The following is an 18066-nucleotide window of genomic DNA, read 5'->3' as shown; positions in this document are numbered from 1 at the left end:
GCCCCTCTCTCTTCCTGGGAGATTGAGGAGTGGGGCTGAATGTTCTGGCCCTATAATCCTGCTTTGGTTCTTCTTTTTTATTTTAATTTAATTTATTTTATTTTATTTATATATATATATTTTTATTATACTTTAAGTTCTAGGGTACATGTGCACAACATGCAGGTTTGTTACATATGTATACATGTACCATGTTGGTGTGCTGCACCCATTAACTTGTCATTCACGTTAGGTATATCTCCTAATGCTATCCCTCCACCCTCGCCCCACCCCACAACAGGCCCCAGTGTGTGATGTTCCCCTTCCTGTGTCCAAGTGTTCTCATTGTTCAATTCCCACCTATAAGTGAGAACATGCAGTGTTTGGTTTTTTGTCCTTGTGATAGTTTGCTGAGAATGATGGTTTCCAGCTTCATCCATGTCCCTACAAAGGACATGAACTCATCCTTTTTTATGGCTGCATAGTATTCCACGTATATGTGCTACATTTTCCTTAATCTAGTCTATCACTGTTGGACATTTGGGTTGGTTCCAAGTCTTTGCTATTGTGAATAGTGCCGCAATAAACATATGTGTGCATGTGTCTTTATAGCAGCATGATTTATAATCCTTTGGGTATATACCCAGTAATGGGATGGCTGGGTCAAATGGTATTTCTAGTTCTAGATCCCTGAGGAATCACCACACTGTCTTCCACAATGGTTGAACTAGTTTACAGTCCCAGCAACAGTGTAAAAGTGTTCCTGTTTCTCCACATCCTCTCCAGCACCTGTTGTTTCCTGACTTTTTACTGATCGCCATTCTAGCTGGTGTGAGATTGTATCTCATTGTGGTTTTGATTTGCATTTTCTCTGATGGCCATTGATGATGAGCATTTTTTCATGTGTCTGTTGGCTGCATAAATGTCTTCTTTTGAGAACTGTCTGTTCATATCTTTCGCCCACTTGTTGATGGGGTTGTTTGTTTTTTTCTTGTAAATTTGTTTGAGTTCTTTGTAGATTCTGGATATTAGCCCTTTGTCAGATGAGTAGATTGCAAAAATTTTCTCCCATTCTGTAGGTTGCCTGTTCACTCTGATGGTAGATTCTTTTGCTGTGCAGAAGCTCTTTAGTTTAATTAGAACCCATTTGTCAATTTTGGCTTTTGTTGCCATTGCTTTTGGTGTTTTAGACATGAAGTCCTTGCCCATGCCTATGTCCTGAATGGTATTGCCTAGGTTTTCTTCTAGGGTTTTTATGGTTTTTGGTCTAACATTTAAGTCTTTAATCCATCTTGAATTACTTTTTGTATAAGGTGTAAGGAAGGGATCCAATTTCTGCTTTCTACATAGGGCTAGCCAGTTTTCCCAGTACCATTTGTTAAATAAGGAATCCTTTCCCCATTTCTTGTTTTTGTCAGGTTTGTCAAAGATCAGATAGTTGTAGATGTGTGGCATTATTTCTGAGGGCTCTGTTCTGTTCCATTGGTCTATATCTCTGTTTTGGTACCAGTACCATGCTGTTTTGGTTACTGTAGCCTTGTAGTATAGTTTGAAGTCAGGTAGCATGATGCCTCCAGCTTTGTTCTTTTGGCTTAGGATTGACTTGGCAATGCAGGTTCTTTTTTGGTTCCATATGAACTTTAGAGTAGTTTTTTTCCAATTCTGTGAAGAAAGTAATTGGTATCTTGATGGGGATGGCATTGAATCTATAAATTACCTTGGACAGTATGGCCATTTTCTCAATACTGGTTCTTCCTATCCATGAGCATAGAATGTTCTTCCATTTGTTTGTGTCCTCTTTTATTTCGTTGAGCAGTGGTTTGTAGTTCTCCTTGAAGAGGTCCTTCACATCCCTTATAAGTTAGATTCCTAGGTATTTTATTCTCTTTGAAGCAATTGTGAATGGGAGTTCACTCATGAGTTTGCTCTCTGTTGTCTGTTATTGGTGTATAAGTGTGCTTGGTCCTTCTTGTGATCAACCCCATCCTGAAGCTACCTAGACTCTTAGAGGCTGCTAGACACCAGTCAATCATTAGCATACAAAAAGACATCACTTTGGAGTTTCTAAGGATTTTAGGAGTTGCGTGCCAGGAAATGGGGTTGAAAACCAAATGCATATCACAAATAGCCAACTATTTTCTAATTTCATCCTTTTTGTAATCCTTTCTCTGTTTTTCTGTAGATTGATCCATGTTCCTCAGTTTCATACTAGGCTGTTCCCGAATTAGAAAAATGAAGTAGTTTTCTAGGGATGGTGTTTCTTAGTCATTCACAAAGTGTGTCTTAGTCATTCACAAAGTAACTTTGTCATGTATTGGCATCCACCTGATTGAAAAGTCATTCCTTGGTGCTAGATGGATTTGGCTTGTCTCAGCTGTGCCATTTGCCAAATTCCCTTCAGCCTCCCTTTCCTGCCCCCGGCCCCCCATGGCTTTCCCTCAAAAGGAAGACGCAGAACATTTCAGGTACCTTGCTGCTTTGTGGCCCTGTTACAACCAGGAATTGTTCTAGTTTTGAACTCCGTTTTGCTCCTTCCTTCTTTTTAAATGTTTTTTTTCTCCTTTATTTTGGAGATTTTACTAGAATAGTTCTCTGGAAGTGCTCATGTTTTTGTAATTGTAGGCAAGGTCAGACAGTGTTCGTACTTGTTCTAAATTGCTATTATATGAACACAAAACCATTTGAGAGAAGCATTTAAGAATTAGAAGGTTTATAGTTAATACTTAATGAAAATTTTCAGCTTAGCAGACATGACAAAATAGATGGGTAAAAATAAGTAGCTGACAAATAGGGCCTTGTGGATTTGAGTTAAGGTGGCACCGTGAAGTGCAGAGGGAGTGAAGGGGAAAAGCTGTTTTATTGTCCACGTGGAAGCTTCTGCTTGAAAATTGCTAACTCTAATCAAGGAAACACTGGTAGGGAGAGTGGAGTATTTTAGAAAGACTTTCCCAGAATGCATCTTGGTGAACATTCAATGAGGAACAATTTCAATGGCATCCTCTCTGCAACTAAGAATCTGTAGTAATGGAATTTGCTTTCTTTAAGGTGGTATATGAACTGAGTTTCTTAATTGAATTTTATAACTATCCATTGTCTTTTCTTTTAGACTTCAACTGTGAGGACATGTCGTTCAGATTTGGCCAACATCTCATCAAGCCCTCTGTAGTGTTTCTCAAAACAGAACTGTCCTTCGCTCTTGTGAATAGGAAACCTGTGGTACCAGGACGTATCCTTTCTTTTTTTTTTTGGAGAGGGAAAATAAAAGTCTTCTGAGCCTAACCAGCCAAATGAATATAAATACAAGATTGGCCTCCAGTCTGTCCAAAAAGGTAAATAAAGAATCCATCTCCCTCCCACTTCGGAGACACCAGGTAAGATGTTACTCATATTTATTCTGAATCCAGTTGGTGGCACCAGTAATATGCTTGATCAATGTTGCAGAACTTCTGAGGAGAGTTGCTTAGCAACCGTGGCTTTGGAGGTGAATTTTTGCTTGACCTTTTCACTACCATAGCTGAGTAAATAAATAGGTGCTTCTAAAATGAGCCCAGTGAATATCACGGGCACTTGGTTTTCAGCTTATCTGTTGTGAATTTTAATAGTAGATTGAGTGGTGCCTTTGTGATGTGGAAGTAAGATATGTGAGGATTTGAGACTGACTTTGTTGCTTTACCTCTTGGAGATCATTCAAGTTGTGCGTTTTAATTAAATTTATATTATAGATATACTTACAAATTTTTTTTAAAAAATATTAGGACCTGAAATAGCATTTTCTCTTGGGAAAAATACCAGCTTGCAGATCATTGACCAGTGTCATTGGTGGAGTTGTTTTATTTCCCTCTGACCACTGAGTTGTAGTCTTTCCTCCTATAGACTTCAATAGGAGCTTTATTCTTTTGCAGTGGGAATAACAAGTATTGGTGAAATGCTTGGGAAGTTATCTTTATGTTGTTAAAAGTTTCACTCCTGATTGTGTGCATATGAATTTTGTACGGACTCTTCAGGATGTTTTTCTCTTTCCTCCTTCACTTAGTTTGCCATGCAGAAGGCAACAGAATAAAATTTGATATTTTCAGATAATAAGTATTTTCCACGCTGAGACATGATTTTGCTTTGAAATGAATTTCTTAGTAATTCTGAATGTACAAATATGCCAAGAGGTTTTTCAGAGTAAGCTACATTTTTTTTCCAGTGAAAATGTGGAAAGTGCCTGAGAACTTTATGAACAAGCTTCTTTTCTAGCCACGTAACTATTGTATGCTAAAAAAAAAAAAAATACAAATAAGAAAAACATGTACCAAAAGATAATTGTGATTGTATTATAGACTCCCAAATTTCTGGAATCCAAATTCTAGTCAAATAAATTGTATTAATTTAGAAAACTAATAAGCAATACTCTAGTAAATATGTAAGCTTTTCTTAATATTTAAAACTCTTCTTTTAAATGAGTCTAAATAATATTAGAAAACTATTTTCTTCTGTTTATTAAAAAAAAACACTAGAATGATTTAGAAAAGCCCTAGAAAACAGCACTTTTAATTTTAATACCAATTGTGTATTGAAATCTTTTAAAAGACCTGAATTTCTTGAAGTAACATTTTATTTTGCTATAAGTTTGTAGTGGGCTTTTTCCTTTGGGGTTTTTTAAAGCAAAATGTCTGTAAATTCAGGTGTTAAAAGAATATGGTTTAAATGCCATCTCTCTCTAGGTGCCAGCTTTAACTGACTTTTAGAAAAGAAATAAAGGGACCTGGGATGAAAATATGAATTTAGACAAGATCCATTTGTCTAAATTCACTCTCATTCCTATGAAAATTAGAGGTCACAGAGATGTACCACTTTTTTTTGTTGTTGTTCCTTTTGAGGCAGAGTCTCACTCTGTAGCCCAGGCTAAGTTGCAGTGGCACAATCTTGGCTCAGTACAATCTCTGCCTCCCGGGTTCAACCGATTCTTGTGCCACAGCCTCCCAAGTAGCTGGGACCACAGGCAGGCACTACCACACTGAGCTAATTTTTGTATTTTTAGTAGAGACGGGGTTTTGCCATGTTGGCCACTTTTTAAAATGGTTAATAATGGAATGAACTCTGCTTTGTAGTTTTTTTACTCATATCTTGAGAGTAATTTGATATTTCAGACTTTTTAACAAACTCAGAAAAAGTGATGTCTAAAACCAGGGCATACCTGAGTTTGAACTCAAGAAAAGTAGAAATGTCTATGTCTAGGAAAATATCTGTAGTGAATAGTGAGCAAGTAGTGAATGACAACTCGTTTCTTTGTAGATGGCACTGGTGTCACCATTTGGGAAATGAACCCTGCTCAGTTACTTTATATTTGAGTAAATACCAAGGGCTCGGAGAATATTTTATTAAAATTAACACACTTCAGTTTGTTTGGAAGGTAGCAAGAAGGATCCAACCCTCTCTGATTATAAGAACAATGAGAACCAGAGCTTTTTTAAAATCATTATACTCTATAAGTCTAATTAACAGCTGCAGTATTTAAAACAGTCTCAGGGCCAGTAGACAGTGTATTCAGACAATGCTTTTTATGTGATGATTTTGTAACTTTTTATTTTACTTTACCTTTATAAACTCTGCCATGTTACAACTGGGAGACGCATCTTTTTTTTTTTTTTTTTTTTTTTTGAGACGGAGTCTCGCTCTGTCGCCCAGGCCGGACTGCGGACTGCAGTGGCGCAATCTCGGCTCACTGCAAGCTCCGCTTCCCGGGTTCACGCCATTCTCCTGCCTCAGCCTCCCGAGTAGCTGGGACTACAGGCGCCCGCCACCGCGCCCGGCTAATTTTTTTTTTTTGTATTTTTAGTAGAGACGGGGTTTCACCTTGTTAGCCAGGATGGTCTCGATCTCCTGACCTCATGATCCACCCGCCTCGGCCTCCCAAAGTGCTGGGATTACAGGCGTGAGCCACCGCGCCCGGCCTGGGAGACGCATCTTAATAAGGTACTCCTTTGCTTGCAGAAAGCTCTAGTCTTTTGTCCTGAGACTTGAGAATGGAAGATGTGGATAGCTCTGTCCACTAACATTTCATAAATAAATGGTGAGATGTCTGGAGTGGGCTTTTATCTTCCTCCAGTGTTCTCTCCTGCCTGCCCTAGTCTAGCCCTTAGGTGTGGTTCATCTAGATTTATGCTGTCTCCCTGCCTCTGGGCTTTTCCAATGTAGCCTATAACTTTATCTGAACCACAGCCCTGACCATATCATTCTTCTCTTCCCTTGTTAATAAACCAATAAGGAATGTCTGTTTTTTGAGGATAAAGTCCAAATTCCTTAGAATAGTTTTTAAGGACCTTCATTGTACTGGCTCAGTCTCCCTTCTTTCCGGCTGTTCCCTGAATATGTGTTGTACTATCCCTTTACTATACTTTCTCCTGCCCCTCACCTCAACTGGAGATTCCTCCCCATGCTTTTCATTTCATCTGAAGTGCTTTGATAACTGTCCCCTGCTCCTAGGGAAGAAAACAAAACAAAACTCTGTCCTCTGTTTGTGACACTCACTTCCTTATTCTCATGTTGATTCATTCAGTACTTTATTACTGAGCTCATACTCTGTTCCAGGTACCAAGACCAAACACACAGCCCAGTCTGCCTCATATCCAAAGTACGTGCATCCCTATTTCTGTCTGCACTGAGTCTTTGCTTCCTATGGACGAGACCTGCTCTTGCACATCTCTTTTTTCTTAGCATCCAAATGTACTGTGTTCACTGAATCTAAAGTGAAGCTGGAAACATCAGGAGTATATGCATTGTTCCAGTTAACAGAATAGAGAGACAGGATGTGCCGAAATCCCACCTTTTCCCGTTTCCCATCCCCAAGGCCAAGTCTTGTCACCACTTTTTTCCAGATGTTTCAGTATCATGTCCAAGCTAGGTTTTCCCAGCTTCCCCTTCATCCTTTGTCCATTACAATTCTGTTTACAAGCGTGTGAGTGTAGGGAGTTAAATCTAAAAGCAGTGAATGAATTGATGGCAGATGGGAGAAGGTTCTTTGCCATTTCTTTACATGTTAATTTGTGAATGGACCAATCTGTGTTTTAAGGGCAGTATATTGGCATCTTTATGTAAAATGGAACATTTTATTTTGTATGTTTGATGACTTCTTCTTAAAAATGGCATTCAGGTGCCCTTTGGGGAGTGTGCCATTCATGAGAGGCTTGTAAATGTCATCTTTGAACTTGTCTCTCTTATAACATTTTGCTGCCCCTCACCAACACTTATTTCTTATGACTTTGCTCACTGACTTTTTCATAGCTTTCAGAGAAAGAAAAAGAACTGTCAAATCAGAGGCCAAAGATACGCTTTTGAAGCAGGATCGTTTGCTTCATTCTCAAAACAGCCACTTCAGTCCCTCCTTGTTCCCACCTGAAGCAAACGCTTCTGTTCCTTGCCAACACTGTTTAAAGCCTATTGAACAGGCTTTGGCTTCTGTGGTGCAACGCTTAGAAGAATATGTCAGAATGTCTTTAATCCATTAATTTCTTGTTACTGGAAAATGCTTTTCAGAGTTTCTTGGTGACAGAATCATTTTGAAGAGTACACATTCAGAATTCTGCAGCAAACATTTTATTCCTGTGTCTCAGTGCAGCCCAGCTATTGTTCATGGCTTAAATAAATTTGAACCATTATGGCTAATACTTCTCCTTACCCCCACTCCCTTTGCTTTGTGCTGTGTCTATCTCTCTTCTTGAGTTGAGCATGAAAATGAATTTAAACATTAGTGGTATCCATTTGAAGACTGGGGCTTTCATTGTAAATAAAATTATTCATTTGTTCTGTCGTCTTCAGCAGAGAGTGTATTGATCTCTGCATTGCTATTCTGAATGGCATAAGGAGCTGCAACATGAGGGAGACACAGCAACATTTGTGGATGAATTGAATAGGGTGTGTAATGACAGAAACCTTGCTCACTGATCATACTGTATTCTACAAATCATACGTCAACAGTTTATTGAATCAGTTATTAAAAAGAGCAGATTTTTCCAATCAAGACCATCTCACGCAGAATGTTACCAGGGCCATACAACATTAGGATGATGCATGTAGGGACAGCCTTACAAAGTATATTTGTGAGAGAATTAGACTAGGTAACTTTAAGAACATTTCTGCTGACACATTAGAAATAAAAAGTTGGCTACCATGCAAACAGTGCTCCAAGATCCAAATTCAAAAGGTAAAAAAGAAAACTCTGACAAATATCTTTTAATACGGAATATTAACTTTCCAAAGAGCAATGTTAAGTTTCCCCCGTTTTCAGACCGTTACCATGTTGAGTGTTCCTGAAATAAGTGGAAAAATAATAAAAATAGCTTCATTACTTAACAGTGATTCTTACAGAATAGATGCTATACATAAAAGCGCCCTTTTAGTCCTTCCATAAAAATCAGAAATATTTGTCATTTCCTCAGTAGGTTGTAATCTTGTGAATTCCTTTAATTGTTCAGGAAACTGCAGTTATTAGTGATCTTTCATTTCTCTAAAGAGTTTCTTTTCGGCCGGGCGCGGTGGCTCACGCCTGTAATCCCAGCACTTTGGGAGGCCGAGGCGGGCGGATCACGAGGTCAGGAGATCGAGACCATCCTGGCTAACACGGTGAAACCCCGTCTCTACTAAAAATACAAAAAATTAGCCGGGCGTGGTAGCGGGCGCCTGTAGTCCCAGCTACTCGGGAGGCTGAGGCAGGAGAATGGCGTGAACCCGGGAGGCGGAGCTTGCAGTGAGCCTAGATCGCACCACTGCACTCCAGCCTGGGCGACAGAGCGAGACTCCGTCTCAAAAAAAAAAAAAAAAAAAAAAGAGTTCTTTTCAAACCTTCCTGTACAAGTAAAATGAGCACAAGCACTATTTTAATATCTTTATAGCTAAAGATAGGTTTTTGCTCTTAAAATTTCCCTAAGCACATGTCTTGTCTTTGCTCTGTGCATGCTTGTTGTATATTAGCCAGCTTAAGAGCTTTTGGAGGAGAAATGTTCAAAGACAATATTGCTGTCCATTGTAGTGGGGCAAGTTGGTTTTCTTGTGGTCACATTTCTTTCTTGACTTCATTTGGCAGATTATTGTGTTCAAAGACATGCATTTAGCAGTGACTGTTAAGTTGGACCTTTCTTTTTCCTACTTCTGTGGGAAAGGTTTCCATATGAATGTGCACCTACCCTTGGGTTATTAGAGTACATGGCCACCAGCTACAAGCAGCTTCTGATAGCACTGGACAATGGGAACAAAGGAAGTTATTGGATGCTGTCATCATTCAAAGTTGACCAACATCTTTTTTCAGTGTCTAAAATCCACCACAGAGAATCCTGCCAACTCCCATTGTAAGACAAACTTGCTGTGACCATCATCCATCTTGACTTGCCATCTAAAGAATTACAATGCAGAAAACAAATTCATTTTATCTCACATACCAGCTGATCAGTTGGTAGTGAGCTGCCAAGGTTGAGGACTCAGGCTGCACGTGGGGTCAGAAGGCAGTAACTGTGATGGGCACTAGAGGGGAAGGGGAAGCCCTCCTTGCTAGTCTCTTCCTCTCCCAAGTTTATTTTTTGTTTCTGGAGCCGAGACTGACATCTTTATTTTTTATCATAGACAGAACAATGGATTGTTGGAAGCTGATGCTGAAGGAATTAAGTAGGTACTTTGTATGTGTGCAAGGAAGGTTTGAAATTGGATGAAGAAAAATGTGTGGACTTTGTGCACTTTGCCCTGGCCCCTTCAAAATGAAGGTGACATACCCACGAAACACTGTTCCTGAGGCATGTACATGTTGGTCTCTAGACCTCATCTAGACTACTTCCTGCTATCTGCCTTCTCTTCCTTGACTCTTCTGGCTCCTTGCTGCCTGCTCTCTGGTGAGGATATGTATGTACAAAGTAGCCTTGTGGGTTACTAGGTCCCTGTTGCTTAATGATAGTTTTAACTGTCTTTCCTTGATCTTGACCTGTCTTCCATACTATGTTTTACCTTCTAGCCCCAGACCGTGCTGTGCATGGGATGGGGTGGGCTGGCCTGACCTGATTATGCATTACAGGAGAAAAATTCAACTGTCATTTTGATTAGGACTTTTAGCAGGTACATTTCTCAGAATTGCATAAAGGCTGTAGAGTCACTTTTGCAACCAGAAATGTGTATCTTTACGATCTGCGGATCTACACAGAATGTAATTCTGTTAATGTGTATGTATGCTGGGGGAGAGGGATATTAGGGGTGTTCTTTCTCCAATTCTAGTGAATGGTAGAATGATAATTATATGTATCTAGACAACACTTCAAATATTTCTTATGTTGCTATCATGGGTATCCTGTAATTTGGAAAGCTGTTCACCATTTCTATTTATTTCCACAGTAACTTTTTCAAGTAGTTTTAAACTGTCATGGTTAACAATCACTGAACTCTGTTCGTTATATTCTGGGCATATTTTTGACCTGCTTTCCATGCAAGTCATCAGATTTTAAGGAACAGGAAAAGACTGGTCATGGTGTTGCAGGCATCGCACTTGCTAAGGAATATAATTAGAAGTAATGAATGGAATAATAATACATCATTATTTATAAGAAGTGTCATGTAATTAACTCAAATAATGCAGAATATATTCTAATTTCCATTTGGAATGAAAATAGGTTTGTTTGAACATCAGTAGGTAGTTACTTATTCTTTTATATTTCATGCACATATCAAAACTGTTAAAATCTACTGAGTACATATACGTGGATTTTTTTACAACAGTCAAGGTAGCTTTCCTCTCCTAATAGTCTTATGTATGTTCCTTATTTTTATTATATATACAAAATACGTATATGTGTTCAACTCTTAGAATTAGCATAATTAATTTATATTTATTGCAAATTAATGATCTAATTTATTTACTTAGCTGCCATTTCCTTTCTCAAACTAATTAACTGAAAAAATAACCATAAATTTGCAAATAGCTTCTGGGCACAAATCCTACATTGGACTTATCCTTAAAAACCTCTACAATACCAGATATCTGAAGTAGTTTGCAATCTAAACTATCTTTGTGAGATTTCTACTACAGGCTTTAAATATATTTCAGGAGCCTTGGTTTAGCTTGTATCTGCCTGCATTTGGGGGTCAGGATATGGGTGGATATGTCTTAGGCAGTGGAGTTATGTTTATGTGTAACAATTAGTATGACAGGTGGTACTGACCAATGTCAAAGGTGGTTCCTGAAAGCTCTCTACTGTGCCAGACATCAGCCTATTAATTTGTGCATTGTGGGGAGGTCTGGAGAGTCCCAGGGGAGGAAGAAAAGAGGTGGTGAGCAGCACGCAAGGGTAATAAGTAATACTTGTGTATTTCAATATTGTAATAACAGGAATAGACATGCCAATGCACATGGTCTCAGTAGATTTTAGAGGGAGATTTTAGAGGGAGAAAAACAGATGGAAGAAGCTCCTTTATATTCCTAAGACCAAGCATGTTCTTTGTTCTTCAAGACCAATTAAGTCAAGCATAGTTGTAGGTTAGCTGATTAATTAAGACCAACAGAACTCTTTCTTCGTATCAAATGGTCATCTTCCTCACACTGAACTTAGCCTCCTAATAGTGGTTTAAGGGAAAGCTTACTTGTAGCATGGGGGATACTGAGGCAATTTCCTTCCTTCCTTCCTTCCTTTTTTCCTTCCTTCCTTTCTTTTCCTTTTGTATATGTGTTTGGGGTAACTGTGGCAGTGGAGAGTATATTTATATACATATAACTAATATCTTACATTAAGATAATTTTAAATAATTAAAATTATATTTTATGACTAACAATGCATTATTGGAGTCAATATTTTGTTTCACACAGGCACAGTGGTGCACACCTGTAATCCCAGAGTTTTGGGAGGCTGAAGCAGGGGGATCACTTGAGACCAGGAGTTTCAGACCAGCCTAGGCAGCATAGCTAGACCCTTTTCTACAAGAAAAGTTTATTGGCTAGGTGTGATGGCATGCATCTGTAGTCCTAACTACTAGGGAGGCTGAGGTAGGAGGATTGCTTTAGCCCAGGAGTTCAAGGTTATAGTAAGCTGTGATTGCACCTCTGCACTCTAGCCTGGGCTGCAGAGCAAGAACCTTTCTGAAACAAAAATTGTTCTATCCTCATTGGCCTATGAGTGGTTTGAATGGAAAAGCTGAGGCACAGACCAATGGTGGCTCTAGTTCATGGGAGTCTGGGCTTTACCCAGGACTTTTGATTCTCATTCCATTGTTCATTTCACCTTCTCCAGTTACATTTCACATGTGCTGCAAACTTCTATGTACGGTGGGGTGGGTGTCCTGAGAAGTTCTTCTCCCTAGAGTTTAAACCTTTCCCATTAGCCCCACTTTCTAGTGTTGTATTTTCCTAAATCTTTACTCTGCCATTTATATTTTTATGGGCATTTTGCTGTTAGTGGCTTTATTATTTTATTGTAAGCTTCATTATCATTTAAGAATAAGACCAACCTTAGTGACTTCTGAAAGTCTAGAAGGTTTAAGCCTTACTCTCCACTGCCATCTATATGGGGCCAGGCAGTTTAGCTTGGTTAGCCGCATAATTTGCTCTGAGATAAAATGGGTCCAGGAGGAGCTAAATTCATCTGGCTCTCCAATTTTTCTCCTTTCTGATAGGTTTTGAAATGCCTGAAGTTATCAAGAACTTCTTTTTATCTTTAAGATTAATTTTCAGTTCAAGAGATTTACGTGCTAATACTTTAAAAGTTAGCCATGATACCCTTCCATTCACCAAAGATGATTGCTTTAATAGTTGTTAAATAAGATGTGTCAAGATAAAAATAAATCAACAGGAATTACATGAAAATCTAGAGTGTTTCACATGCAGAGGCCTAGAATACCAGTTAGTATTTTCTATTCTGTTTAGGGACCAAATGACTCTAGAAGCCATCTCTCAGGGAGTCATATCTGCAGTAATGTAATTGAAGTTCAGGAGTGCAGCAGATGTTGAGTGAAACTTTTCATATTTCCGCGGAATAAACAGCTAAGGCCTAAGCAGGAATGCTGACATGTGGGGACAGATGCTCCCCACATCCACATTACTGAGAGGCAGCAGCAGAACCATTCCTACCTCACTGAAACATACCTCCACGCCCCCAAACCGCAAAGGGAGAGGATACGTGAGGACAAAGATCGACAGTTGAAATGAGGAGTGTAGGGATGCTTTCTTCTTCCCTCTTCTGGAATAATTACTCCCACTGCCTCAAAAGTCACATCTCTTGGGGGATGCTTTCCACAAAATGACACTGGCATCTTGTTCTTTGGCTTGATGCTACGAAGCTGTAGGACCTGCAGGCTGACACAGGTACTGTCATGATCTGGGAGTGCAGGGAGGTACAATTGCTTTTGGAGAGCTTCCCATGTGCTCTGTGGAGTTTGGAATTGTACATGAGCACACAAGAGTGCTTGCTTCTCATCTTTGCATTCTTGAATGTAGGGTGGGGCAGGGGAGGCTTGTTGGAGAGGCCTGTAGTAGCAGAGCAAGAAGTCACTGAAGAGGAGTAGTGTTCCTGGGAAAAAAGATGAGAACAACTTTTCTACACTATTTCACCTTTTCGGTAGCCCTTTGAAGAAGCCCAGAAGCACCAACCTCAGCAGGTCCCCCGGTTCCTGTAAATGACCATGAATGTCCGAGTAGGAGGCAGGCACCACTAGGTTGCTCAGGTAGATGCTGGGCCAACTGAGGTGCTGGCCTCTCCAGAGAGGGGATTGGGTCATGGAACACCGGCAGACCTAAAAGGGAGACATGGCTGTCCTTTTGTAAATGGATCCTCAGAAACAAACGGGGGCGAGACTTTACTACCTTCCTGGAAAAAACATGTCTGTTAATTCACCAGTGCAGACTACCGTATTTGCAGAGGCTCCCAGCAGATGGAACTGGAGCTAGACCAGGGACACTTACCTGTCACCTGTTTGTGTGTGTGTGTGTGTGTGTGTGTGTATGTGTTGTGTGTTTCATTTTGTGTTTTTGTTTTTGAGACAGGGTCTCACTCTGTCATCCAAGCTATAGTGCAGTGGTACAACCTTGACTCACTGCAGCCTTGAGCTCCAGGACTCAAGTGATCTTCTCACCTCAGCCTCCTGAACAGCTGGGACTACAGGTGTGGGCCACCACGCCCAGCTAATTTTTGCATTTTTTGTAGAGACAAGGTTTCACCATGTTGCTCAGGCTGATCTCAAACTCCTGAGCTCAAGCAATCTACCTCAGCCTCCCAAAGTGCTGGAATTACAGGCATGTGCCACCACACCTGGCCACCTGTCACCTGTTGACAGGCAACCTGATACCTAAGACCACTCTGCCTTTAACGCTAGCATAGCTTAGCCTCACTATGGGGGAACACTTGTAGAGAGCTCTAAGTAATAAAAGTTGCATCTCAAGTCTGTGCTTGATAGGATATAAAATTTTAAAAGAACCAAGACTAGAATTTTAAAATGGAGAGATTTACAATTATGGAAAGTGACTACATAGTTATACGTTCTGCCCAAGATATTATTAAAGAGCCAGAAAGGGATTCAACATAGGGTGGCTGGAAAAGTAATGGCAAAGAATATAATGGTAGCACGTCTTTCTCCCACTAAGTTGAGATTCTTCAATTATTGTTTACACAAAGAGATGACATAAATCTTAAAAAAAAGGGGTTGTCAGTCAATACCACATTAGGTAGGGTGTGATCCCTTCAATTCTTAGAGTCAGAATCTTGTGTATATTAGATGGTTGATAAATATTTATGGGATAAATTTAATTTTGGTTCAAAACAGGATGGTTAGGTAGAGGAATATTCTTTTAATTATTAAATATTTTCTGAAGATCTGTATATCAGGTTCTTCTCATTTTCATTTCTAATCTAAATTTGGCATGCTCTTAAGCCAACAAAGTATCAATGTAAGGATTAAATGCTATTGGAACTTTTTTGCATGGCAGCAGCCGGAGTGATCCTGTTAAGACTTGTTGAATCTATGTCACTTCTCTCATTATCCCCACAGTGGCTTCCTACCTTCTTCTAACTAAAGCCAAAGTTATCACAGTGATTGACAAGGTTCCTACTTGTACTCCTCCATCCACCCCCTGCCATCAACCATTGCCCCTCTGATTTCATCTATTACCATTTTTCCTGTAGTGAGTTGAATGGGGATCCCTCAAAAGAGATGTCCATATCTCAATCCTTGAAACCTGTGAATGGTACCTTATTAGGAAAGGGGTCTTTGTGGATGTGTGAGTTAAGTATCTCACCTTGAGGTGGGGAGATTATCCTGGATCAGCCAGGCAAATCCTACATCCAATGGCAGTGTCCTTATAAGAGTGAGACAGGGAGATTACATGGAGAAAAGGAGGACACAACATGATCGTGAAGGCAGACTGGAGTGATGTGGTCACAAGTCAAGGAATGCTGACAGCCATCAGAAGCTGGAGCAGCAAAGAGGGAGCGTGGCCCTGCTGACACCTGGATGCCACGCTGGCCTCCAAAACCATGACAGCATCAATGGCTATTGTTTTCAGCCACCAATTTATGGTAATTTGTTACAGCAGCTACATACAACTTTCAAAGCTCCCCACATTCGCTCAGATCCAACCACACTAGATTCCTTGTTGTTTGTTTAACATTCTAAGCACACTGCTGCCTCATAGCCCTTGAACCAGCAGCTGTTTATTCTTCGTGGAATGCCAATTCCCCAGATGTACATATGCTATGTTCACTCAACTCCTTCAGACCTCTATTTAGATTGTGCTCAAATGTCACAGAATAGTCTTTCCCATTATCTTAAAATTGCACCCCTACCACATGACGTTCCTTTGTAGTGTTTATACACTAAATTATTATATAATTTATTTGTGTGTGTGTGTGTGTGTGTGTGTGTGTGTGTGTGTGTGTGTGTGTGTGTCTCAGGCTGACTAGAATGTGAGCTCTCTGAGGGCAGGGATGATTCTCAGGTTTATTCATGAATGCATCTCCTCTGCCTGGGCAGGGCCAGGCTCATAGGAGGTGTTCAGTAAATATTTGTTAAATGAATATTTGCTAGATGAGTGACCCTGGTTGACCATGTTGGCTTTTTAGCTCTAAAGATAAAAGAGGACAACGGTCCTCATTTAACAAGTAGAATAATGTGGTAAGTTCTCACACCAGGCAGTATACTGCAATGGTTAACATAGTGTCAACCAGGATTTCTATGTACCTAACACACATGAACACATGCTTGGAGACATAACTAATATTCATCATTCCAAAGTGGCCTGCTTTGAAAGAGAGAGAAGTAACAGGTGGTTTGAGCATGAAAAATACTCAACCCCTCCCATGCCCAGCACAGGTTTCATAGATTTCCATGTGGATTCCAGCCAGGCTGATGAAATCAGTTATTTCCTCAGCTGAGAGAAATCTAACAGAAGGGTTTGATAACTCGTCGGCTCATGAGATTTGATTTCCCAAGATTGTATATGCCACTGTCTTGCCTTCCTCAGGAAGTCTGGAGCAGCTCTGTAAGCAATTTCTTCAGTTTAGTCAAGTTTTTATGGCTTTATCATCTTGGCTTCCCATGCATACAGGTTGCCTTACATAACATGCCCTTTTGTAGATCTCTATTTCTTTCTGATGATCCCTTTGATGAAACCTTCTTCTGATTTATTATTTCTATAATAATCAAGGAAATTTCCATTAGACAATTTTAGTTTGTTTATTCATTTATTTCCTAGAATTTTTAAAACATGATTTAAGGTGACTATGAAAAAGTAGAGTAAGATTTAAGTGCTTTAAAAAAAAGCAAACTACAAAATTCAAGAAGTAGTAAAAGGAAAGTAAGATGGACCAAAAGTGAGATTAGTGCATCAAATAGATATAAAATATTTATATACTTGCTAGAGATAGTGATATGGTTTGGCTGTGTGCCCACCCAAATCTCATATTGAATTATAGCTCCCATAATTCCCACGTGTTATGGGAGGGAGCCCGTGGGAGATAATTGAATCACAGGGATGGTTTCCCCCATACTGTTCTTGTGGTAATGAATAAGTCTCACGAGATTTGCTGTTTTTATAAGGAGTTTCCCCTTTCACTTGGCTCTCATTTTTCCTTTTGCCTGCTGCCGTGTAAGATGTGCCTTTTGACTTCTGCCATGATTGTGAGGCCTCCCCAGCCACGTGGAACTATGAGTCTATTAAACCTCTTTTTCTTTATAAATTACCCAGTCTTGGGTGTGTCTTTAGCAGCCTGAAAACCAACAAAAACAGATGGGTCACAAAGTTGGCCCTGAACTTTCTATCACCAACCTAAATAAGGAAAGAGCATCAATTCTTGAGGTAAAAATAGGCTGATTGTTCAGAAAAATGCAGAAATGTGCACAACACCAGAGATCAGGCGATTTTCTGTGAATTCTTCCTCAAGGAGATGATGCCAGAATATGTAATTGACAGCATTCTCAAAACATCCTTCCAATGCACATGGAGGCTGTTTCTCAAAAATATGTTCTGAGTCTGGTACTCAACATCTCTACTACTCCTGCCAAATCTTGTCTGAACTGGGTGCAGTGAGCTCTCAGGTTTCCTTGTTTATCACTCCCGCAACTCCAGTCTACCACTATCCATCCTCCAGTCTACCACTATGTAGCTGACATAGATTTTTAAAAATACAGAAACAAGAACAGGTTGTTCCTTTGCATTAAGAAATTATGGTTGTTTCTGGCTGGGCATAGTGACTCATGCCTGTAATCCCAACACTTTGGGAGGCTGAGGCAGGTGATCACTTGAGGTCAGGAGTTCGAAACCAGCCTGGCCAACATGGTGAAACCCTGTATCTACTAAAAATGCAAAACTTAGCCAGGTGTGCTGGTGGGCACTTTTAATCCCAGCTTCTCAGGAGGCTGAGACACGATAATTGCTTGAACTCAGGGGGGCAGAAGTTGCAGTGAGCTCAGATCGTGCCACTGCACAACCAGCCTAGGCAACAGAGCAAGACTCTGTGTCAGAAAAAAAAAAAAAAAAAACTTCTGGTTGCTGTTGCTGTTTCTTTCACTTAAAGTAAAATCTGACATTCCTCTGACCTTCACCTGCCACCCTCTGACCTACACAGGGTCCCTGGTTTTCCTCCTTTC

At 40.0% G+C, this 18066-nt stretch overlaps 1 protein-coding gene across 6 annotated transcripts in view; it reads left to right on the top strand.

The window, feature by feature from the left end:
* The window catches only part of FHIT (fragile histidine triad diadenosine triphosphatase), a 1504176-nt gene that overhangs the window by 711388 nt on the left and 774722 nt on the right, over positions 1–18066 (top strand). For all 6 annotated transcript variants that reach the window (NM_001354589.2, NM_001354590.2, NM_001166243.3 and 3 more), the window contains one exon: positions 3086–3205. In NM_001354589.2, coding sequence (NP_001341518.1) covers positions 3103–3205 — 103 coding nt within the window. In that variant the 5' untranslated portion in view covers positions 3086–3102. The remainder of the gene's footprint in view (positions 1–3085; positions 3206–18066) is intronic.

Source organism: Homo sapiens, chromosome 3 (genome assembly GCF_000001405.40).
Source record: "Homo sapiens chromosome 3, GRCh38.p14 Primary Assembly".
Classification (NCBI taxonomy): Eukaryota; Metazoa; Chordata; class Mammalia; order Primates; family Hominidae; genus Homo; species Homo sapiens.
This window is presented reverse-complemented; position numbering and strand designations above follow the sequence as displayed.